At 36.9% G+C, this 13,436-nt stretch overlaps 1 pseudogene; it reads left to right on the top strand.

Annotated features, from left to right (window-relative positions):
* Positions 334-609, top strand: RN7SL542P (RNA, 7SL, cytoplasmic 542, pseudogene; annotated as a pseudogene).

Raw genomic sequence — 13,436 nt, 5'->3', positions numbered from 1 at the left:
ACCTAATCAGCAGTTTGAATCTAGACTCCTGCTGTAGAAAAGTGGGAAGAAAAATTGCATGTATGAATGGGTGACCCAACAAGTTCCTGGTGTCCACCTGGGACTTCCCTGTTGACCTGGGATGGCTGAGAGTCGCCTGAGCCAGTGTCCTCCCCAGTGTACTGCATCTTCTGGAGGCATTCATTCTCTGCAACGCAGACTTTCAGAAGGATTCACTGCAGCTTACAAGATCCCTTCTCTAATTGATTTAAAAATGGTCAAAAAAGGCTTAGAATCTATATCCAGTGATTTTAACAATTATAAAATACTCCATTTACTGGGAGTGCAGTCACACCTGCACTCCTGGCTACTAGGGAGACTGAGGTGGGAGGATCACTTGGGCCTAGGAATTAGAGGCTGTAGTGCACTATGCTGGTCAGGGGTCGGCACTAAGTTCACCATTATGGTGACCTCCCTAGAACAGGGGACCACCAGGTTGCCTGAAGAGGGGTGAACTGGTCCAGTTTGGAAATGAAGCAGGTCAAAGCTGCTATGCTGATAAGTAGAGGGGTGACACCTGTGAATAGCCACTGCACTCCAGCCTGGGCAACACAGTGAGTCCCTATCCCTTTAGGAAAGGGAAAGGGAAAGGGAAAGGGAAAGGGAAAGGGAAAGGGAAAGGGAAAGGGAAAGGGAAAGGGAAAGGAAAGGAAAGGAAAGGAAAGGAAAATAATTTAAAAAAGAAAAAAAAAGAAAGAAAAAATACTCCAATGGGAGGGAAGTGCTAGTAACAGCAAAGGAAAATAGCTGGCAGATTCGACCACTAGTATAATACAGTAGAATAACAAGTTTCTCTATGTTCTACTGTCATGAATTGCATATTAAAATGAATAAAAGTACCCAGCTGTAGCTTAAGAGTATATGTTGACTGATGTTTAAGGGTGGTCTGTGGTGTAGACTTGAAGTCTATTTGGGGGCCTTTCTGCGCCTTGTCTTAAACTGCTTTGTGAAAGGGTAGATGCAATGTTCAAACGCAAACACTCTGGGTTCCTTTCCTTTCACTAAGGGGAAATGGAGAACTATTACATTCTATTGCTGGCAGTTGAGGTTTCCTGGTTGTCCTCCCCCAACCCCATAAACCATTAATAATTTTTTGTTAGATTGTATAATTTATAGTATCAGTTTTGAATGCATAATGTAATACTGTATACTGAAGGGTAGTTAGTCTTTCTTCAAATAGGTTACCGAAAATGAAATAAATACCTAGATTAAATTTCCATACTAGGGAGAGGAAAATGAAATAATTTGCTGACTTGCAAAAATATGTAATAGACATTGTGGAGATAATCTACATTCTAAAAAATTACCTCATTGTTTTAGTCATCTCAGATGGTTTCACTGTAAAGGCAATTCTTTAGAAAAAAATTTGCTGCAATTGTTGATCAAAAATAATTCTTTTTAAATAAAATGAGATGAAAAATGTTATTTAAAAATATGTTATTATAGAATAATAATCTCTAAATAGTAATAAAATGAGGCAAAATTAGTTTGGGAACTTATAATGTGATATAAAAAGGTGACCAATTTATTTTAATGTCTTTGATTTTGTGAATGAATGCGTTACGGAAGCTTTAAAATATGATATTTTAAGCAAGAGCTGAAAAAATTTTGTTTTATCTTTATATTTGGTCCTATGCTTTGTTCTAAGAAAAAAATTACTAGATACTTAACAGTTCTAAAAACTTGTTTGTATTTCTAGTTTTGTACCTGTAGTTTTTCTGTGGTTGTAGAAAATATAATTCATGTTTCATACTGTGAGACATCTACTGAAATTACTACCTTTTTCCATGCCACCAGCTGCTCCTCGCTGGTGTCTACTATAAATTAATAATATTATTTAGTCCCTTTCCTTTTGCTATTATTATTATATTTTTCATGGATTCAAACCCCTTATTTTCCTAAGCTTTTGTCTTCATGATAAACTATCAAACTTCATCTGTGGGATTGGTATTAGATCCTATGGTAATCCCAAATAGAATTTGAATTTTCTCTGGGCATTGGTTACCATTTGTTGTTTATTCCTCTGAAATGGTATTACTTTCATTATAATAATAGGATTATGTTCATCAGGACATGTGTTGTCTTCCTTATTGTAACCTCACTTTTCCCCTTTTAAAGGAAGGAAGACAGGAGTAAAGAGAGAACTTGTTGAGCATAGACAAGCATGTAATTAAAGGATGGTAACTAATGACTGTTGGATGCTTTAAAAATAAGTATATATCAAAATAATTAGGGAACTCTAATCTGTAAAAGTAACAAGTTTTGATGATGTATATAAATGAATTGCTTCATAAAATTCTTCTATTGAACCACTTAACGATCTTCTGAGGTTGTGTTTGATACACAGATATTTTTGCTTTTAAAATGTACTGTCCCCCATAATGTTTTAATACTTCCATGTAGTCAGTAAATGCTCTCAAACATACAAAACAATTTTGTCTAGATTGTTTATTTAGTGTGACTTGTAAAAATAGCATATCTCAGATTATTTGGAAGTCTGACATTTTTCCATATTCATAAGTACTCTGTTAATAACACCATCAGCATCGTTACAATTAATACTCTTTAAGATGAAACTCTGGGGAAAAAATTAAGTGTTGAATTCATCTAACATTTTTACTCTCTTTCTAAACATAGGCTGATTTACAAAGGCTTAGTAATTTGATGATATTTGTCTAGAAATGTAAAATTCACTACATTTCTAAATTTAGAAATTATTTGCTAAAATGTTTAAAACATTTCCTAATTTTTCTCCCTAATCATGTTTTGATTGTGCACAAAATAAAGGGACTTACTCAAGCCAGATAAATTATACATAACCTTGATAAGCTTCATAATGCTAATGCTGTTTTGATAGAGAAAACCACAAGTAATGCAAATAGCAGCCTTTACTCTCCAGTACAGGTGTGTAATAAACACATATAATTAAACCAAAGATACATAATGGTTTGTTGTCGGATACACATTTACAACAGCTGACTACGTTCTTAATGTGTGGTTCATGAGTTAGTTAGGTAATTTTCTTATGTCTCCATTCCTTGAACAGAATATTCCTCATGGGCTCATATATGAAACGATTCTGTGCTTTTTACTCAGTAGCTTCCCACTGCTGCCTGTAATTTAGCGTCTTTGCCATATCAGCATTACCTAAAGATGATTAAAAAGAGCATGTAAATTCACAAACAAGTCATTTTATTCTTCAACTTAAATAATTTAGAAATGCCCCCCAAAAGGAAAGTTATCAAAATGTAAGCCTTTCGACATGGTTTCCATCTTAGTGAAATATATCAACTGTGCATTTAATCACTGTTATGCATAAAATATGGTTTATGGCTCTGCTCTATATATCAAATAAACTTCTTTGTATATTATGAATCTGAGTCCTTTAAAGGGCATAAAGCAAAAAGAAAAACTAGTACCAGATTTTTAAAAATCAGTATAGAAACACAGCAATGCCAAAGCTATATTTAGTTATTTTAAATTCTATACTTCCATTGAGGTTTCTTTTTTCTTTTTTTTTAGTAATTCAAGACACATACACATATATACAGTCTTCGGATTTTGAATTGGGCAAACCAAAGATAATAGTCATGAATCTGTATAAATAGTGTGTGAATTTCTTAATTTTAAACACTTCTAATCCTTTTTCCCTTCCATTGTGATGCTATAAAAACACTGTGACATTATAAGACATTCTATCATACAGGCGCAACTGAGATAATGTCTCTTACCAGATTTGGCCAGAAGAGTCTGTCTACTAATGTTGATAATGTAGAGAAAAATAAGTAACGTAAATTTGTTTTTTATTTTTTAAAAAAGGTATATCTTAACAAATGTATTAAACTATAGTGCTTGGTAAAAGTGGTCATGATAATATCTGAGCTCAATAGCAATTTCTCATAAATTGCTGTGTAGGTACCATTAATCATTGTATTCAAATGCTAAGCATCACCTGTTTAATTCAGTTGGTTCTGATTTATACATCATTTCAAAGAATGCAAAGGAAACACAATTGAAAAGTTTTACTTTCCACATTAGCTATACAGCTCATCCTCTTCTAGCCATATCTCAGGACAGGAACTAAACAATCAACTTCATTTCTTTGTCTAACTTTTAAAGGCTTGTTTGCAACTAATTTTAGGCAAACCCTTCATTTTAATTGAGTTTCTAGCATGAACTTTAAGGAATGGAATTTAGTCCCAAAGCAGCCATAGTTATTCCTATTGCTATTGTCATTTTGGTTCCTCATGAAATAAACTAGTTATTCCTCCTCTGTCTTCTTTTTTATGACCTTGGGTATGTGTGATTTTGTATGTGTTGGAGGAGCCAATATGTCCTCTGCCTATATAGAAAAGCCTGTCAGGCTGGGGGCAGCGGCTCATGCCTGTAATCCCAGCACTTCGGGAGGCTGAGGAAGGCAGAACACCTGAGGTCAGGAGTTTGAGACCATCCTCGCCAACATGGTGAAACTCCATCTCAACTAAAAATACAAACAAATTAGCCGCTTATGGTGGTGGGGACCTGTAATCCCAGCTACTTGGGAGGCTGAGGCAGGAGAATTGCTTGAACCTGGGAGATGGAGGATGCAGTGAGCCAAGATTGTGCCATTGCACTCCAGCCTGGGCTACAGGGTGAAACTCCATTTCAAAAAAAAAGTGAAAAAAAAAAAAAAAAAAAGGCCTGTCAGTGTTAAGTTTCCTTTTTAAAAAGAGAAGTTGCCAAAAGGGAACTTCCTTACCTTCCACCACCATGTGTAACCCTACCTCTATCTGTTCCTAAACCCTCCTTTCTTCCTCCTCCTTTCAAAGATCAGTGAGTCCAGATGTGCTCTGTGCACCATCCTTCGCTTTTCTCACGGACCTCACACCACCGGTTACTTTCCTGGTCTCATTCGTCCTCTCCCCTGCAAGGCATTTTCAATCTTTCTCTCTCTAAAGGACGCCTCCCCTCAGCACATGCTCGCATCTCATCCAAATTATAAAAGCCCACCCAGACCTTAAAAGCTTTCTCCAGGTCTCATCTTATACTTTTCTTTTTCTCCTTTTTTTGGGAGTGGTTGGCGGGGTGGGGAACAGGGTCTTGCTCTTTTACCCAGGCTGGAGTGCTGTGCAGTGGTGCCATCTTGGCTCACTGAAACCTCTGCCTCCCAGGTTCAATCGATTCTCGTGCCTCAACCTCCCTAGTAGCTGGGACTACAGGCATGGGTCACCATGCCTGGCTAATTTTTGTATTTTTAGTAGAGACAGGGTTTCACCACGTTGGCCAGGCTGGTCTTGAACTCCTGACCTCAAGTGATCCACCTGCGTCGGCCTCCCAAACTGCTGGTATTACAGATGTGAGCCACAGCACCCAGCTCACAGACCATTTTCAATCCTCCTCTCTTGGGACACTAGGATTATAGGCATGAGCCACTAAGCCCAACCCTTTCCTAGCTTTCGTCTAAATCTCTGATGATTCCTGGTGGGTTTTCTCTTTGGAACTCTTCCTCCACTCCCTGAATTTGAAATATTAGAGATACTCAGGACTCTGTCCTGGATTCACATCACATAGGTTCTTATTCTTCGCTCTCACACATTAGGCGAGCTTATCTAATTTTGTGTCTTCACATAGGATCTGTATGTCCATGATGTCCCAAGTTTTACCTCTAGTCCAGTCTTTTTCTGAGCTGCAGGCCTATGTGGCAAACTTTGTACCTGATTCTTTTTTGGATGCCTCACAAGCATCTCAAGCACATCGTGTCTAAAACACAGCTCACAGTTTTCTCTTCAAACTCCTCTTATCTTGCCTCACAAGCATCTCAAGCACATCGTGTCTAAAACACAGCTCACAGTTTTCTCTTCAAACTCCTCTTATCTCTCCTCATCCTAGTAAAAAGCATACAGCTTCCAAGTTGCTCTGCCAAAGACTCTAGGATCCATCTCTATATATTCCTTCTTACTTTTCCAACTTGCTTAATAAATTTCTGAGTTCTAAATAGCATTCAAGTCTATCCACTTCTCTCCATCTCAATAGTCACTATTTTAGTCCAAACAATCATCATTTCTCACCTGGACTGCTATAATGCCTCTGGTTTTTCCTGCATCCACTCTTATCTGATTCCAATCCATCCTCTATACAGCAATTTAATTCTGATAATAAAATGTCCTTGCTTAAAACTCTTAAATGACTGCCCATTGCTCTTAGGATAAGAATAAAGTCTCTAACATGATTTAAAAGGCACTACTTAATTCGGGCTCTGCCAATTTCCCTGGCCTTAATGCCCCCTCTTGATCACCATGCTGAAGCCTGGTACATAGTAATATCTCAATAAATATTTGCTAAATAGATGAGGAATACATTGGTGAAACAATGGATATGTGGATAAATGAATGCATACAAGAATGAATTAATGAAGAAATAAGATAACCCAAGTCCATCTTGAAAAGTGTCATACATTTTATAATGTTCCTTCTCATACATTTTCATCATCCCAAACCACACTCAAAACTTTATTTTTATTTTAGATGATTATATATAAGATTTCTTAAATATTTACCATTGATTTTTGAAGAATTTTGAACTTCATGACACACACACATTTGACACATCTTCTAAACATCAACCTGAAGTAGATAAGGAGCCAATCTTGTGGTTTTATTCCAGGTGAGAAAATGGTGGCTCATCCCATGCAGAGAGTGTCCCCGTGATCACTGAAAAGGTCAGTGGCAAAGGTCTCTTGAGTTTGAAAACTTCTATTCTACTGAAGATCCCTCTTAGAAATCTTGATTTATATGGCACTACTTAATTCAGGCTCTGCCAAACTAGAGTACCATAAGTGAATGTGGCAGAAGCAGCAAGGAGTTCACAAACTTAAAGTTGTCTCCTTAGTAGACAACCATTCATTTTGTAACCATTTGAAGGATAAGATGGGGGTTTTCTGAAAGTTTCTAAGGAAATTTTGGAATGTAAATTTCATTTTGGGTTAAAAATCAATAGACATTACTACTGATATAAAATAAATATTGACGCAAAAACCTGTCAATTAAAAAATGATTATTTTGGGCTGGGCGCGGTGGCTCACACCTGTAATCTCAGCACTTTGGGAGGCTGAGGCGGGTGGATCACCTGAGGTCGGGAGTTCGAGACCAGCCTGACCAACATGGAGAAACCCCGCTTCTACTAAAAATACAAAATTAGCCAGGCATGGTGGTGCATGCCTGTAGTCCCAGCTACCTGGGAGGCTGAGGCAGGAGAATCACTTGAACCCAGGGTGGGGTGCGGAGGTTGCAGTGAGCTGAGATGGTGCCATTGCAGTCCAGCCTGGGCAACAAGAGCAAAACTCCTCTCAAAAAAAAAAAAAAAAAAAAAAAAAAAAGATTATTTCTACTACATGTTCGCTGTATAAAAAAATCAGAAATGCTGATAAGAAAAAAGTTAAAACAACCTTTGGACCATTCATCAATAACTATGATTATCTATGTTTAACATTGAAACCTATGGTTATAAACTTTAGTTATGTGCAAACACAAACATTAAAAATTTAAAAATGGTATTATATGCGCATATAATGTTTTATAACTTGCTTCTTGAGTGGAGTCTTAATAATATATTTGAAATATTTCCTATGTTAAAAAACATTTATTTTTTCTTTTAAATAACTTTTATTGTAAGATATTTCAAATATATATAAACATAGTATAATATAGCCAACACAAAAGTATCCATCACCCAGGTTTAACAATTGTTGACTGATAGGGCTTTGCTCTGTGTCCCCACCCAAATCTCACCTTGAATTGTAATAATCCTCATGTGTACAGGGCAGGACCAGGTGGAAGTAACTGGATCATGGGGGTGGTTTCCTCCATGCTGTTCTCATGATAATGAGTGAGAGATCTGATGGTTTTACATCATGAGTTTTTTGAGGATATATTTTATAACAATATGTAGATTAAAATATGTATTTTCAACAGAAGTAATGATTGGCTCCAATGCAAAGCTGAAAGGTTAGGACAAACAGTTTTGGGATATTTGATATTATATATTATGAACACAGATACAGATATCAAAATATGCTATGGCACTCCCACTACACCACAAATTTTTTTTTTTTTTTTTTTTTTTTGAGACAGAGTCTTGCTCTATTGCCCGGGCTGGAGTGCAGTGGCATGATCTCGGCTCACTGCAACCTCTGCCTTCCAGGTTCAAGCAATTCTCCTGCCTCAGCCTCCTGAGTAGCTGGGATTACAGGTGCGTGCCACCATGCCCAGCTAATTTTTTTATTTTTAGTAGAGACGGGTTTCACCATGTTGACCAGGCTGGTCTTGAACTCCTGACCTCAGGTGATCTGCCCGCCTCGGCCTCCCAAAGTGCTGGGATTACAGGCATGAGCCACCATGCTAAGCCCACCATACATATTTTAAATCTGTATGTTGTTAGGTGTGTCTTATATCTACCACTGGAAACAGTTAAGTGCGGTCACATCTAAGAAACCTCAGCTCAGAGAGCAGGAGTCAGAATGCCATCAATGCTAGGTAATCTCAGTGGGTCACCTGGTCTACTTCTTAGCTTCTGGATATGCAAATCAAAGAATCTCTCCAAAGAGCTATTTTTCTTGTTCTTACAGACCTCTAGAAATGGAGGTGCCATGGACTTTTTGGTAGACTAATATGATGCCTGTTACTGTTCTTATACACTAAGTGGTTTGTTTTTCGGGAAGAGAAGCTGTGATGATTTAACAGTTATCTTCATATACAGGGCTTTCCTCTTTAAGTGAGTTTGAAATGATTCTCCTGATTCTCTAAAGGCAACTCTCCACAGTTAAAAATTAATCAAGAATTATATAGGTTAAAATCTAGTAGGCCAGTGAATTGTACTCACCTTATTGATACACGGAAGCACCACATTAGCCAGTAAACAAGACTGACTACCATTTTTATCGGAATTAGTCTCATTTTCCATGAGTTTTGAATATGTGAGGGTCTTAGGAATGCTTTTGTCACATAAAATGGGACTTCCCTCTGTCCAAAGTGCTGTCAGGTGGAGGAAGATTAGATTTCTTGGGCATTGCTCCAGAGGCCAGGCAAAGAGTAGTGGAGACACATCATGAGAAGGGATATTTTGATATAAGACGAAAGACTTACCAACAGTTAAAGCTGTCCAAAAATAAAATGGGCTGTCGAAAAATCCAGTGAATTCTCAATCTCTGGAATTATTCAAGCAAGGATAAAATGATCATCCACAAGGCTTTTGTGAGGGCACTCACTGGTAAAAAGAAGCTGGGTGGGATAGCACTTTAAGGTATTTTCCACTCTAAGGTTTTATGACCAAATGGCTTAACTACATTAATCTTTCCTGATGAGAGCTATCAATCTTCTATTTAAAAAATAATCTTTGTTGTCATTTATTAATGTTTTCCAAATTATTTACACATAATATCTATTTTTAATATATACATGTACAAACAACACTTAGCTATTTATCTCTGAACATAACAATATATATTTTAAATCAGATGTTTAAATTACTCCTAATATTTAAGCAGAAGCCTGAGAAAGCTCAAATGTAGCACAAATATTAGTTTTTTTTTAAGAGGTATCATGCAGGGTTTGTGCTCAGAATAGGGGCAATTGTACAAACTCCCAAGAACAGCATGTCCTAAATCAAACTCTCTGATTTTGAATGACAGAATCAAATAAGACACAATTATGCTGGCCTTGCTTTTTCATTGTGTATGCATTCTCCACCAGAAGAAAACTGAACTGCTAACTGCTTTTCACAAAGTCTTGAGCGTTCCCAATACCGCGTTCCTTTCTAAGTTGGCCCAAAATGACAGTCTTTTCTGACATCAAAATATTTTTCCAGAATGATGTGTTAGTGGCAAAGTGTCTTCAGCTAGGGAAACTTCCAAATCCCAGACTATAGCTTAATGAAGAGAGCAGTAAGCATGTTCCACAGATTTTAATCCCTGAGAATCAGAAGAAATGGCTCAAGATCTTTTCAGGTTGAGAATATAGAAATTGTGGTCAGAGGGGGTGACGTGATTTGCCCCATATCACACAATAATTTAATGCTAAGATCAGAAATAAATACAGATTTACTTACCAACTTTTAATCCATCATCCCTTCCATACCATGATTATAGAAATATAGAAGATGTACAGAATATAAAGAATGTAGGCTCTGGAGCCAAACTGCTGGGATCTCACCCTTGACTCTCATTTACTATGCTTCACTCAGTGCATCAGCTCTCCAGTCTATAAAATTTAATAAAAAAACTACATATCTATATTATAGGGTAGCCATAAATTATAAATTAATACATGTAAAATGATTAAAACAGTGCCTGGCACATAGTAAACAAGTGATTTTTTGTTTCTATTTTTCAAGGCCATGGAATATCTCAGATTGTTGAGCTAGGTAAGAATTATCTAACATTCTACTCTATTCTACTACTTTCTTGTATGGTTATTCCTTTTTCACAAAAACAATCATAGCCTTGGGTTGTTGTTTTTTTTTTTTTTTTTTTTTTTTTTTTTTTTGCCTTGTTTCTCGGTTATCTGTTGTATTTTCTTCAAATGTTCCAGAACTGTTGTTGCATGTTTATTGATATTTTGCATTATTAAAACCCAGCAATTCAATTTCCCTTCTACTTTCTGCCTGAGACCCTGTAGGAGCCCTCTGGCCTCTGCTCAATCTGGAGTACCTGCCGTCTGGGTCAGCTGCACAGAGTTCACAATGAAACTTCTCTTCATCATTCTCCATTATCCTATCCTACCTTTTCTGATACTATGTCTCTCTCATTTGGTTAACTTCTTGTTTTGTAAAAGCACAACCGCAAGGAGCTTCTTAAGAAAGAAAGATTGAGAAGTATGTGCTCTGGTTTCTTCCCTTTCTGTAGAGACTTTATTTTTGCACTCGGTTGATACCATGGTTGAGTAGAAAATGCTAGGTTAAAAAATTATTTTATTCGGAAGCTTGAAGCTATTGTTCCATTGTTTTCCAGGATTTTGTTGTTCTTTAGAAGTCTGCTATCATTCTGAATTTAAATCTTTCAAATGTGACCTGTTTTCCTCTCCAGAAAACTTTTAGAACCTTTTCCTTATTTCCGATGTTCTGAAATTTTGTAAAGATAAAGATCTTAATTTTTTTTTCTTGGATATTCAGGGTTCCCTTTTAATCTGGAGATACCTGTCTGCCAGTTCTGAGAATTTTTCTTGTATTTTTTTTGATAACTTCCTCTCCTGCATTTCTCTGTTCTATTTTTCTGAACCAAAACTTACTTAAATATGGATTTCCTGGATTATTCCTCTAGTTTCCTATAAAACTTCCATTTCTTTTTCTATTTGGTCGAATTTCAGGAAGGTTTTGTTTTCATGTTATCTCCCAGTTGAAATTAAAATTTTTATTATATTTTAAATTATCAAGATTTAAATTATAAATTTTCCTTTTCTTTGTTACGTTTTCATAGTATTCTCTTCTTGCTTTATGGGAAAAAATGCTTCTTTTATCTCTGATGATTCTCTCTCTCTACACACACACACACACACACCTATACAAGCTTGTGAATATGCACTTGTGCATGTGTGTATATATTTATATATGTGTGTGTACAGTAGTCCTCAGATAATGTCATCAATAGGTTCTTAGAAACCACAACTTTAAGTGAAATGATGTATAATGAAACAAATTTTACCATAGGCTAATTAATAGAAACAAGAGTTAAGTTCCTATGGCATATTTGTTGTCACAAAAAAATCACCAAACTTCTCAATAAAGACCAAAATGCTTCTAATATTAAACAATAAAATAAATGTGAGATATACATGTAAAAAAGATTAGTGAAAACAAGATAAATATTTACCCAGTTATTCCGGCTCAGGGCGCAAGTTAGGAACCAGCCCTGGACAGGATGCCATCCCATGGCATGGTGCGCTCACACACACGCCCGCACGCACTCACATGGGAACCATGTAGACATGCCAGTTCACCCAACAGGCACATCTTTGGGATGTGGGAGAAAACCAGAGGAACCAGAAAAAACTCATGCAGACATGGGGAGCAGGTGCAAACTCCACACACACTGTGGCCCAGACTAGGAATCTATCAATGCTATAACAAAACAATGTTGAATAAAATGATGTTAATTGAGGACGTGTGTGTGTGTGTGTGTGTGTGTGTGTGTGTGTGTGTGTGTGTGGAGAGAGAGAGAGAGAATGTATGAGGTGACCAAGATTTTAAAAAGATATTGCAGAGAGATGAAATTATCTTCTAAAAGCATGCAGCTCCTTTCTCCTGACAGGTGTGAGGCTTGAGAGGCAGCAGCTGGGAGGACTTGGGTAGGGTGGGAGAGGTGCCCTGGGCACCAACTGATGTCACAGACTTTCAATTAAACCCATTGGTTCCCACCTAGCCCCCAACTCCCATCTTCTCTGGGTCCTTGGGTTTCTTAGTCTGACCCTTTCAGGAGCTGCAGGGAATTGGCTACCTTATGGTAGGTAATCACTGCTGAATGGGTTGCTACACACTCATTGACTTCACTTATTCAAAGGTACATTGAAAACTCTCGTATGCTGTTGTCTTTGCTCTCATTCTTTTATATATGTGAGTCAATATCTTTAAAAATGTATTTTCTCTTATGTTGGCAGGGCTTAGGGGAAAAGAGGAGCCATATACGCATGTGGTTAATCTGCCATTAAGATCGTGGGCATTATTTTGCTTAATTTTTAAATAAAATGACTACAGGCCAGTTGCAAAATACATACTATTAGTGAATACAATTCGTGTCTGTCCACAAAACACTAAAAAATCTGCCTCAAAAGTAAAAAGCTTAGCAATATAATTGGTGGTTTTGTGGCTAAATAATAATTTATTCTTTTTATTGCTTTTCAGTTTCCCAGGAACCCACATTATAAATCTTGACATTACCTTTGATTTCTCTTTTCTTCCTATTCCACATCTGTAAAGCCTATTGCTTACACTTCTGTAATATCTTTTCAATACATTTCCTCTTTCCATTTGCATTGCTGCCTCTCCAATTCCTCTCTAATATTGCTCACCCAGACTATGACAATAGTTTCCTATCTGCTCTGCCCACCTTTATTCACTTACTCAAAAACATGTAATGAGTGCCTACTATGTTCCACTTGGGGCTACATAAGTGGGCAGCAGCAAAGACGCTGTCCTCAAAGAATCCATCCTTGAATGGAGAGACAGACTAAACACATCCTTCTCTTTCAATCTATCCTGTACACCAGAATCATTTTCCTAAAAATTATGATGATTTTATCACCGTTTAAAAACCTCTGATGGCTTTTTGCCCTGAAATTCTAGGTGCTCCATGGACTTGATCTAAAATCCATTTCTAAGCCAGTATTTTCCAACCACCTCCATTTTTTTTTTCATTTGGTTGAGAAAACACT

The sequence above is a fragment of the Homo sapiens genome, chromosome 7 (genome assembly GCF_000001405.40).
Source record: "Homo sapiens chromosome 7, GRCh38.p14 Primary Assembly".
Classification (NCBI taxonomy): Eukaryota; Metazoa; Chordata; class Mammalia; order Primates; family Hominidae; genus Homo; species Homo sapiens.
This window is presented reverse-complemented; position numbering and strand designations above follow the sequence as displayed.